Source organism: Homo sapiens, chromosome 19, assembly GCF_000001405.40.
Source record: "Homo sapiens chromosome 19, GRCh38.p14 Primary Assembly".
In the NCBI taxonomy this organism is placed as follows: Eukaryota; Metazoa; Chordata; class Mammalia; order Primates; family Hominidae; genus Homo; species Homo sapiens.
In genome coordinates this window covers 36,543,074-36,555,923 of record NC_000019.10, presented here as the reverse complement: position 1 = coordinate 36,555,923, position 12,850 = coordinate 36,543,074, and the positions used below count along the sequence as shown (strand labels likewise).

At 37.5% G+C, this 12,850-nt stretch overlaps 1 protein-coding gene across 11 annotated transcripts in view; it reads left to right on the top strand.

The window, feature by feature from the left end:
* The window catches only part of ZNF529 (zinc finger protein 529), a 61,931-nt gene extending 49,620 nt beyond the window's left edge, over positions 1-12,311 (top strand). For 6 of the 11 annotated variants that reach the window (XM_011527164.4, NM_001145650.2, NM_001145649.2 and 3 more), the window contains 2 exons: positions 1,128-1,254; positions 7,602-12,311. In XM_011527164.4, the coding sequence (XP_011525466.1) occupies positions 1,128-1,254; positions 7,602-9,058 (1,584 nt within the window). In that variant the 3' untranslated portion in view covers positions 9,059-12,311. Of the gene's footprint in view, positions 1-1,127; positions 1,255-3,946 lie in introns of those variants that run through there. The other 5 variants (NM_001352273.2, NM_001352272.2, NM_001321351.2 and 2 more) reach the window with 4 other exon arrangements.
* Positions 12,312-12,850: the final 539 nt, after the last annotated feature.

Here is a 12,850-nt window from a genome sequence, read left to right as displayed (position 1 = left end):
CCTATGTGTTCAGTCCTTTGTCAAGAGCAGATATAAAGCAAAAGTTGAATCCCTAGACTTTTCCTTGTCATATTCTTGGATAGGGAAAAAGCAGATGGATCTGTTTGATAATTGGGCATACTCTGACCTTCTCCACAGACTTGAGTTTCCAGGTAGATTGATTTGATGTTGAATGGCCTCAAGTCATACAAAATGATGATGATTGTAGACGCAGCATTGGAGAAGACCTTCTCTAACCTAAACGTTGGAATATAATTAAGGCTATTATATTTTTAACAAGAAAACTACTCTGTAGCCACTAAAAAACACTTACTAAAAACTTTATCGCGGCCGGGCGCGGTGGCTCACGCCTGTAATCCCAGCACTTTGGGAGGCCGAGGCGGGTGGATCATGAGGTCAGGAGATCGAGACCATCCTGGCTAACAAGGTGAAACCCCGTCTCTACTAAAAAAAATACAAAAAATTAGCCGGGCGCGGTGGCGGGCGCCTGTAGTCCCAGCTACTGGGGAGGCTGAGGCAGGAGAATGGCGTGAACCCGGGAAGCGGAGCTTGCAGTGAGCCGAGATTGCGCCACTGCAGTCCGCAGTCCGGCCTGGGCGACAGAGCGAGACTCCGTCTCAAAAAAAAAAAAAAAACTTTATCGCTGGAAGTAATAATTGTTATTATATAATGTGAAATAATATGTCACATAGTAATGAACTTGGAGCTACAAGAAATCTTTAATTTTATTCATACCCCATTTTCAAAGTTAGATATTTTTCTCCTGTACAGGGGAATGACGGTATAGAAACTTACCTTTATTGATGATTCATGAGGCAGGCACATAGCATGAAATGTGCTTGTATATAGTACTTCTTTTAATTTGTAAACTGGTTATTAATTTCCAGACATGGTTGGCTAAATAAGAGATCCCATAAGTATGCAGAAAGATTTCAGTGGATCAAAGGGAGTCTTGAAAGATGATAGTCTGGTTTGGAAGCACTAATTTCCTTACTTCCCATGTCACAGTCTTCTTTTGGCCTCCTTGTTTACTGTCCAATCCCCTTGCTATAAGGCAATTCCTCTTGTCTTTTTCTCAAAAATATTTCCTTAAATTTTACCTGTAATGTACGGGTTTGTTGTTTCAGGAACTGGTGACACTCAGGGATGTGGTCATCAACTTCTCTCAGGAGGAATGGGAATATCTGGATTCTGCTCAGAGGAACTTGTACTGGGATGTGATGATGGAGAACTACAGCAACTTACTCTCACTGGGTAAATTTATCTGCCTTAAATAACTTAGAATATACTCTCTAGACTATCAACTGATATTCAGTGAACTCAAGGCTATGTTTTGTTTTGTTTATGAGATGGAGTCTCACTCTGTCACCCAGGTTGGAGTGCAGTGACATGATCTTGGCTCACTGCAACCTCTGCCTCCCGGGTTCAAGTGATTCTTCTGCCTCAGCCTCCAGAGTAGCTGGAATTACAGGAGCCCGCCACTATGCCCATCTAATTTTTTGTATTTTTAGTAGAGACAGGGTTTCACCATGTTGGCCAGGCTGGTCTTGAACTCCTGACCTTGTGATTCGCCCACCTTGGCCTCCCAAAGTGCTGGGATTACAGGTGTGAGCCACTGCGCCGTCCTCAAGGCTATGTTTTAAGAAACTAGGTGAACTGATTTCAAAGGCATGCTTTCAGTATTGTTGTGTTGCAAATGACATCTCCATTAGTCTTTAACATTCTTCATGATATTCTTACCTTCTTAGGCCCTTCATATAATTTCTACCTTCTTTGATACCAAGGAGCTGGATTTGACTTATGGGACACATATAGCATATCATTGAGACATTACAGGTTGAGTATCCCTTATCCAAAATACTTGGGATGAGAGTGTTTTGGATTTGGGATTTTTTTTCAGATTTTGGAATATCTGCTTATACATAATGAGACATCTTAGGGATGGAACCCAAATTGAAACACAAAATTCATTTATGTTTCATGTACACTTTATACACATAGACTGAAAGTAATTTTATACAATGTTTTTAATAGTTTTGTGCATGAAACAAAGTTTGTGTTAAGTAGTTATGTGTATTTCACTTGTAGCATCATGTCAGTGCTCAAAAAGTTTAGGATTTTGTAGCTGAATTTCAGATTGTAGATTCGGCATGTACAACCTGTACATTGTGTTTGAGGTCAGAATTGCTATAAATACTTTATATTCTTACCTGCCTTCTGGGAGAACTTTTAACATACTGTGTGTCCTGATTTGTTATAATCGTTAAAAGAATCTCTACAATTTATATATTGATGGATTGATAAAGAGTTCATATTCATTTCCTCCCACCTGCTTTATGGCTAAAGAACTTTACATTTAACATTAAATTAGTATTCCACCAAGGACCTTTTAATAGCTCAGAAAGTTACTAACTTTCCTCTCAGCTTCCATAGTTCTTGCCTTCTACTTGGCCCCATCCTAAGCACTTTACATAATTGACTCTTGGCTGGGCGTGGTGGCTCATGCCTGTAATCCCAGCACTTTGGGAGGCCGAGGTGGTGGGTGGATTGCCTGAGCTCAGGAGTTCGCGACCAACCTGGGCAACACGGTGAAACCCCATCTCTACTAAAATATAAAAAAATCAGCTGGGCATGGTGGCATGTGCCTGTAGTCCCAGCTACTCAGGAGGCTGAGGCAGGAGAATTGCTGGAACCCGCTTGAACTCGGGAGGTAGAGGTTGCAGTGAGCCAAGATTGCGCCACTGCACTCCAGCCTGGGCAACAGGGCAAGACTCCATCTCATAAAAAAAGGACTTGTTTAATTCTTACAATAACTCTGTGATATAAGTGCTATTTCTATTATTGTTGTACAGAAGAGGTTGCTTACAACAGAGAGTATTTAGGTACTTCTGCAAGGCTACACAGCCACTTAATTGCAGAGGTAGGCTTTCCACCCAGGCAATCTGGCACCAAAGACAGTATTTTTTAACTATTATACTGCTTCTCCAGACAAAGAATTAGTATGGGTTTAAATAACATAAGAGCTTTCTTTACCTGTCTAGTCTCTTTATACTTGATAATTCTGTGGTTACTCTAAGGTGAATGTTTTTCCAGTTCCCTCACATTTCTCTTTTCTGACATCTTTATCAATATAATTTTGATTTTATTTAGTAAAACTTTAGCCAATTCTCAAAGCTGTATTTTAAAAATTGGCTATAATAAAAAAAACATTGTTACATTTCTTTGTTGTAAGCAGTCTTCCATTTCTAATCCAATTGGGATCACCTTACTGGAGGAAGGGAAGTTGCTCTATAGAGTTTATGGGATGTGAAAGAAGACAGGGCCAGGTGAGTGATGGCCAATCAGTGATAGAAAGTCATTGCCAAAGCACAAAGCCTATCTGGTCCAGGAGGGAGATTAGCCCCTGTGATTCTGTTGGGAAAATCCCTTCAAAAGCCTGTGGGTTTTTACTTTGATGTTGTTGTTGTTGTTGTTGTTGATTTTATTTATTGATTTTTTTGAGACAGTCTCGCTCTGTCACCCAGGCTGGAGTGCAGTGGCACAATTTCAGCTTGCTGCAACCTCTGTCTCCTGGGTTCATGCCATTCTGTCTCAGCCTCCCGAGTAGCTGGGACTACAGGCGCATGCCACCACGCCCGGCTAATTTTTTGTATTTTTAGTAGAGATGGGGTATCACCGTGTTAGCCAGGATAGTCTCAATCTCCTGACCTCGTGATCTGCCCGCCTTGGCCTCCCAAAGTGGTGGGATTACAGGTGTAAGCCACTGCACCCAGCCCAGACTGTGTTTTGTTTGTTTGTTTTAAAAAAAGAAACAAAAGCCTGGCACTTGGAGGAAATTAAGATCTTCAGTGCCACCAACTGTTTTCCAGTTCATCTTGTATTTAGACTTATGTATGTATATATTGACCAAAAAAAATGCTCATTCATATTCTCAATATTTATTCAGGTCTACATTGAGACAGATATCGGTACAATGGTGACCAAGACCAATACAGACCCTGCTCTCATGGAATTGACATACTAGTTCTTGAGATGTATAATAAACAAGTAAACAGATAAGTAGAGAACATATATAGTGATATGTATAAGAATAAAGGGATGGTGTGTGATGGAGAAAGAGCTAATTCAGACAGTGTGGTCAGAAACCAATCTCTGTGGTCTTAATTTGGCATTTTATAGATACACAGTTCCTTTTCAGTGGTTCACCTAATGTTTTTGCAATTGGAAGTCCTCATTGGAATCAGTGTGTTTCAATTTGTCATTCCTTTTATATATTAGTTGCTGTCATGTTCTTTGGTAAACTTTTGTAATTCTAGTAGGAAAGGCAAAGAGGCTTTTTTTATTATATGTCTTTTATATTACTGTAAGTAAGTAGCCACCTCAAATGGTGCACTAGAAATTTTCATACCTTCTATTAAGTCTCATTATGTTTATTGATTTTATTGGTTCAGTATACATTAGCCCACCAGAGTCTGATTTTTGATGTCCAGCTGTATGAATATTGGATGAAATTTTGATATACTGATACCATGTTTCTTATGGTGATTTCTGTGTGCTTTGGCTTTATCCTTTAACCTTTGAATTTATTCTCACTTTTTGTCCAAAGCTTATCCAAGGCTCATTCCATACCCTCCCTATCCCAGACCCAGCATTGAATTGGATATGAGTGCATTTTTCTGGTTTTGTTTAGTTTAGCATGTTTCAGTACATAAACTTTTTTCCCCTCATTTGACTCTTGTATTGTCAAAATGGTGGCACTTTAGCTCCCGCAAACTATTTTTGTGTCCCTTTGATGTGACCCACTGTTGTAAAACTTTTTTCTTTCTGGCAAAACATTACAGGTTACATCTCATACCTCCCCTGGTCCAGATCATGATTCAGGTCTTTGTTCTAGGATTCCTGGCTTATTATCTGGTTTATTTCAATAACAAGGACAATAAGTCATGGTTATGATTTTTCTGTTTCATGGAGTGAGTGAACATTTTATCTCATTCCAGGAATTTGTTTTTTTCCAACTATTGTTGCTTTTTGGGTTGGTTTTAAATATTCCTTTACCAAGAAATTCATTCATTAGTCTACATTTTCAGCTTTATTAGCATAGGAGTCTTAATAACATTTTGTGTATGTTTTCATCACCTAGTGATTGTTTGCTAATTCCTCACCTTTTCTTTAGGTCACTGTTCTTTATACATTGGTTATTTTTACTTTTTTAAAAAAAAGCATTTAAGTTTTTACTTTTTATGAGACAAATGTATTTGCGTTCCATAGATGTCAGTTAGAAATGTTTTCAACATCATGGTTCTCTACAAACTTTGTGATTTCAGTTACATTTCCACATTGACTCAACAGTTATTTAATAGTGAGCTTCTTTTTTTTTTAAGACGTAGTCTCACTCTGTTGCCCAGCCTGGAGTGTGGTGGCGCAGTCTCAGCTCACTGCAACCTCCGTCTCCCAGGTTTGAGCGATTCTCCTGCCTCAGCCTCCCAAGTAGCTGGGATTACAGGCATGTGCCACCGTGCCTAGCTAAGTTTTTTTGTATTTTTAGTACAGACGGGGTTTCGCCATGTTGGCCAGGCTGTTCTCAAACTACTGACCTCAAGTGATCCGCACACCTTGGCCTCTCAAAATGCTGGGATTACAGATGTTACAGCCACTGCACCCAGCCTAGTAGAGAGCTTCTTTATTTCTAACTGAAACTTCTTTTGATTTACTGATACTGGCACTCAAATCTGGTTTTAATGTTGTCGTCAGATATTGATGCCTGCATTATTTCATCTTATACATAATTAAGTCACAGAAAATTATTCTTGCCCTTTATCATGCAGTGTTTATGTGTTGCTCTGAGTTTTCCTCAGGCATTCCCTTCTCTCACTGTTGGCCTCCAGATGATCTCCATAAAATCCTTTGCTACAAAGTGCCTTCCAATCTTGTCTACCTAGACCACCTTCTTCATATGATTCTGTTAGCATATTCTCCTTTTCACACATAAGCCCTTGCTCAGAACTGTGTAAGTCTAACAGTAGTTATAATTATATTCAGATATTATTTTAATATCTGAAATATATTTTTGGAAAGTACAGCATTAGTTGACTTTTGCTATAAGAAAATGGAAAGGAATATCTGTAAAAGAAGATAAAAGAAAAAATAGAGGAAGGTTTTAGGAGGACGGCGGAGTAAATGTAAATATGCTGTTGAAGAGAAGTAAATAACACATCCCGATTGTATTTCTTCATTCCACATGTCAATCATGGCTCTGCATAAGAGGGAATAAGCAATAGTGGTGGACAATATGTGTAGGTGGAGAAGCAGTTGGAAAATAAATACATATGAATGTTCGCCATATTTATGTATCTTACTGTATTATAAATATACATATGTAATCACTAATACAATGTGAGGGTTGGGAGGCATTGGTAACTGGCATTATTCTTATAGTTACATAATTATTTTGATAATTATTGTTTTCTAGTGACTTATCTTTGTATATATACTTTTATTTTTATTTAGATTCATTCATACAGTGATTTACTTTTCCTCTAATTAATTATCATATACTATGTCCTTAGGTCTTGTTATACATTGGCACATGAAAATTTATTACATTTGTCCTTGTGGAATTTAAGGAATAAGGAAGTAAATGGTGTAAGAGAAAAGTATTGAATACACAACTGAAAAAAATATATATGAGGGTAAGGCACTAGATATGGGATTAGAAACAGAAATGAAGTTATTTAGGGTCAACTAATATGCCCTTTCTGAGGGTATCTTGAGACTTTAACAAAGAAAAGAAGCTGGCATACAAAGAGACCATTGATGTGAAATGAAATGTCCTGTGGATAGCTCTAAATGATAGGAAATTTGTTTTGATCTAGGAGATGAAAAATGATTAGGAGAATGCGTTAAAATGAGGTGGTTTTTTTTGAGACGGACTCTCGCTCTGCTGCCCAGGCTAGAGTGCAGTGGTGCAATCTCAGCTCCCTGCAGCCTCCACCTCCTGGGTTCAAGCAATTCTTGTGCCTCAGCCTCCCAAGTAGCTGGGACTACAGGCGCATGCCATCACGCCCAGCTGTTTGTATTTTAGTAGAGGCAGGGTTTCACTGGTCACAAAGTTCTGAGCTCAGGTAACCCACCCACCTTGCCCTCCCAGAGTGCTAGGATTACAGGCATGAGCCAACACGCCCAGGCAAAATGAGGTCTTAACAAACTGCACCTTGTTATTATCCTCGGTAAAATTTATTTTTGGGGAGGAAAACCACAAAAGTGTTAGTATATATGGATTATCAAATTTTGATCTGCGTTAGCATTACCTCTACAAGATGCTAATGACTAGTTCTACATCTACAGATTTTGATTCTGTTTAACCAATGAGCTTACCAGGTGATGACCAACACACAAATTTCAGATCCACTGACTTAATCTGTTACCTTTATCACAATCCTCATAATCTTTATGTTCTGCTGTTACTCTGTGAGCTCTCTTTATCTTTCATGACAGTATTTTAACCAATTCATGTATATGGTGAATTATTCTTAAATTGTCTCTTCTTTCTATAACTGTTTTATTTTTGTAGTACATGAAAATTATTTTTTCCTTTCTTTCAGATTTGGAGTCCAGGAATGAGACTAAGCATTTATCTGTAGGAAAAGATATTATTCAAAACACTGGTTCTCAGTGGGAGGTAATGGAAAGTAGCAAGTTATGTGGCCTTGAAGGTTCCATTTTCAGAAATGACTGGCAAAGCAAAAGCAAGATTGACTTACAAGGACCTGAAGTGGGATATTTCAGTCAAATGAAAATCATCTCTGAAAATGTGCCCAGTTACAAAACTCATGAATCTCTTACTTTACCTCGGAGAACTCATGACAGTGAGAAGCCCTATGAATACAAGGAATATGAGAAGGTCTTCAGTTGTGACTTAGAGTTTGATGAATATCAGAAAATACATACTGGTGGAAAAAACTATGAATGTAATCAATGTTGGAAAACCTTTGGGATAGATAACTCCAGTATGTTACAACTGAATATTCATACTGGTGTGAAACCTTGTAAATATATGGAATATGGGAATACATGTAGTTTTTATAAAGACTTTAATGTATACCAGAAAATTCATAATGAGAAGTTCTATAAATGTAAGGAATACAGAAGGACCTTTGAAAGAGTTGGAAAAGTTACTCCACTTCAAAGAGTTCATGATGGTGAGAAACACTTTGAATGCTCATTCTGTGGGAAATCCTTTAGAGTGCATGCACAACTTACTCGACATCAGAAAATCCATACTGATGAGAAAACTTACAAATGTATGGAATGTGGCAAGGACTTCAGATTTCATTCACAGCTTACCGAACATCAGAGAATTCATACTGGTGAGAAACCCTACAAATGTATGCACTGTGAGAAGGTTTTTAGAATTAGTTCACAGCTCATTGAACATCAGAGAATTCACACTGGTGAGAAACCTTATGCATGTAAGGAATGTGGGAAGGCTTTTGGAGTATGTAGAGAACTTGCTCGTCATCAGAGAATTCATACTGGTAAGAAACCCTATGAATGCAAAGCATGTGGAAAGGTCTTTAGAAATAGTTCATCCCTGACTAGACATCAGAGGATTCATACTGGTGAAAAACCCTATAAATGTAAAGAATGTGAGAAAGCATTTGGAGTAGGTAGTGAACTTACTCGACATGAAAGAATTCACAGTGGTCAAAAACCTTATGAATGTAAGGAGTGTGGAAAGTTCTTTAGACTTACGTCAGCCCTTATTCAACATCAAAGAATTCATAGTGGTGAGAAACCTTATGAATGTAAGGTATGTGGGAAGGCCTTTAGACATAGTTCAGCCCTTACAGAACATCAGAGAATTCATACTGGAGAAAAACCCTATGAATGCAAGGCATGTGGGAAGGCCTTTAGACATAGTTCATCCTTTACCAAACATCAGCGCATTCATACTGATGATAAACCCTATGAATGTAAGGAGTGTGGGAATTCCTTTAGTGTTGTTGGGCATCTTACTTGCCAACCGAAAATTTACACTGGTGAGAAATCATTTGACTGAAATAAATGTATAAAGTGGTTTTTTATTTCTGATTTTCACAGGAAAATACTGTGGATGGATTTAATAGGTAATCAAGGCAATTCAGTATCTCCCTCTCTTAAAGTCTGTTTTTAGACTTCATGGTCATTCTGTATGTAGACGTAGAATTGCTTAGTCATAGCTGATATATACTTATAGCTTTGTTAGATGTTGCCAAATATTTCTCCTTTTTATGTTAAAAAGTTTTTTTCATGAGTTTCTCATCCTGGCATGTTTTGTTTACAATAGCTTTTGATGTTTGTATTATTGCTCTTTTGACTATTCAGTTTTTTAATTGTAATATTACTTCAATATCTTTTCTGCATTGTAATTCTTTGCTTGTGATATCTATACTTACTTATTTTCCTCCACAGAGTTAGCACTCCTAGTCAGATACAATGTATTTTTACAGTCTTACAGCTCATCATTTTGTGTAATGTTGTTTTGTTTTGTTTTAAATGATAGAAGTGTGATCTCCTTTCCATTTTCATCCAATTGTTGACTTCTCTTTAAATTTCTACTTTATTTTGATACAACATATTCCCCCCAAAAAAACACATACATAGGAACTGGTTATATTCCACCATAACACACACACACACACACACACACTATATACATATAGTGTATATACACATATAGTGTATATAGTGTATGTGTGATGTATACTATACATATCACATATACTATATGTGTGTATATAGTGTGTGATGTATATGTGTGTGATGTATACTATATATGCCCACACATGCACTACATAACACACTATATATATATATATATATACACACACACACACACAATATATGTATATATAGTATATACACTATATACTGGGCACTATATATATATAGTGTGTATGTGTGTTATATTGGAATATAACCAGTTCCTTTAAGCAGTCTTTTTACCTGCAGGCTATACCAACCAGGATCCAAATGAAGAGAACTCTTTTAAATATTTGATAAAACTACTCACCCAGTAAGTCTCTTAAAATTTATCATTCTCTTAAAGTATCACTCTAAAATTTGTCAAACACCTTTAAAAGGGGAGAAAAAATGACCACTGAACTTACATTAAGAGAATTTACAACTATATATTAACATGGCTTCAATTGTTTTTTTAATCTATTATCATTATTTTTCTTTTTATTCCCTCTCAGAGTTGACTTACTAGGTTTGGGCATTTCAACAATCAGCAGACCTTCTTTGGTTTAACTAATCTCATTTAACTCCAAAATCATCTCTCTCTTAGGACTGCTGACTTGGTTATGCAGTCAATGAGATCACGAGCCACTGGTTATTGGATTTTTTTTCTTTTTTTTTAGACAGAGTTTTGCTCTTGTTGCCTAGGCTGGAGTGCAGTGGCGCAGTCTTGGCTCACCTCAACCTCTGCCTCCCAGGTTCAGGCTATTCTCCTGCTCAGCCTCCTGATTAGCTGGGATTACAGGCATGCGCCACCATGACCGGCTAATTTTATATTTTTAGTAGAGACGGGATATCTCCGTGTTGGTCAGTCTGGTCTCAAACTCCCGACCTCAGGTGATCCACCCGCCTCAGCCTCCCAAAGTGCTGGGATTACAGGCATGAGCCACCGCACCCAGCCTGGTTATTGGATTTATTTATTTATTTTGAGATAGAGCCTTGCTCTGTCACCAGGCCGGAGTGCAGTGGTGTCATCTCAGATCACTGCAACCTCCACCTCCCAGGTTCAAGCGATTCCCCTGCCTCAGCCTGCCAAGTAGCTGGGATTACAGGCATGCGCCACCATGCCCAGCTAATTGTATTTTAGTAGATATGGAGTTTCACCACGTTGGCCAAGACAGTCTCGATTTCCTGACCTTGTGATCCCCCTGCCTCGGCCTCCCAAAGTGCTGGGATTACAGGCATGAGCCACCACGCCTGTCCGGTTATTTGATTTTTATAAGAAAATTTTACTATTATTTTCAGATAAATTTATGTCACTGTCATTCATTACATTTTAATTTTTGAAACTGATGTCTTTCCCAGAATTTATGTACTCTATAACGGTGTGAATGATTACCAGTATTAAGCCATTTTCTCATCTGATATATTGAGCTATGTTTTATGTAAGTATTGCTTATTCAAGTAGTTTTAAAAGATATGTAATTGGTTGTTGTTTCATGTCCTACACAGTAAGAACAAGAGTATGTTAACCTTTTTGTCAGGATATTTGCTATTTCATATCTTTGAAATAGAGTAGTAGCTCTATTTCTAACTAAATTCTATTTATGTAACAACACAGCTAATTTACTCTTGGATCTCATTCTCCCTTTTTATCCTGAGTTACCATCAGTGCTAATGTTCCTCTTTTGGGTATAGTTCTCCAGGAGAACTTGTCCTATATTTCTTTGTGTGTGTTTTTTTCCTTCCAGCTTAAACAAATTAAAACTAAATATCTAAACCTTGTATACAGACATTAAAATTAGTGAGAGAAACAAAATATCCTTGTGTCTTGGCTTTTACTTTTTGAAGTCATTAACAAATAATAAATTAATGAATAAAATGTGTCCTTATTATGTTTTCCTTGTTTGTAGTTACAGCTATATTTTTATCATATTAACATTTTTCACTTAACTTCGTAATGAACTTATGGCATTTCACACTTACTCGAAACCATAATATAATTATTATTGGTGGTATTACTGTTTGGTTTTTACTATTTTTACTCAAAAACATAAAACTTCACCATTCTTTCCATTTTCATTTGCCCCTTTATTCTTTCTGACTTTTCTCTAAGCCTGCATAGGAGCTTTATTCTCATATTCAATAGGATAGGATATTGCAGTCTCATCCTGTTTTCTGCTGTCCTGCACCATTAAATTTTATATGTCCTTGAAGGAATTCAATTTAATGGCAACTAATATATGTATGTTAGGGACAGGTAAAGAGTCTGTGACTGAGATTTCTGGAGTTATATAACCCCTGCGCCACCCCCCACCCCAACTCCAACTTGCCAGAATTCACCCCTTAACCTGCAATGTGATTGTATTTGGACATAGGGCAATGAGGACATAAGAATGTGATTCTAATTTGATACAAATGGTGATCTTATGAGAAGAGGAAGGAGAGACGTCTCTTCCTATGCTCACACACAAAGGAAAGTCCACATGAGGACACAAGGAGAAGCCAAGAGAGCCCTTACCAGGAATTAAACCTGCTAATCCCTATTTTAATTAGAACAGTGAGAAAATAAATATCTGTATTTAAGCCTCACAGTCTATGGCATTTTCTTACAACACCCTAAGCAAACTAAGACAGTTGTTGGTACTGAGAAGTGGGGTGCTGCTATAACAAAAAACTAAAAATGTGCAAGTCCAAGCTTTGGAACTGGGTGGTGGGCAAATAGGCTAGAAGAATGCTGAGGGTAGATGCTAGAAATATGGATGTAAAAATGATTCTGGGGAGGACAAAAAAAAAAAATAGAACCACTGGAGAGAAAGCTTCCATTTTAAAGAATCCTGTCATGAACGGTATTCATGTTAAAGAAACAATCATGAACAAAATGTTGGTAGAAATATGGACATTTAAGGCCATAATGTTTTAGTCTCAGAAATGAGAAACAGGTTATTGTAGCAAGGAACTTGGCTGAATCATGTTCTAGTGTTTTGTGGAAGGTAGCGCTTCCAACCAATGAAAACTGAATAGTAGCGGAGATTTCTAATTATTGAACTTGTGGCTTGGGTTCCCTTTATTGCGCATATAAAACAGGAAAGGAGAGAGATGAATTGAAGGAGGAATTCTTAAGCAATAAGAA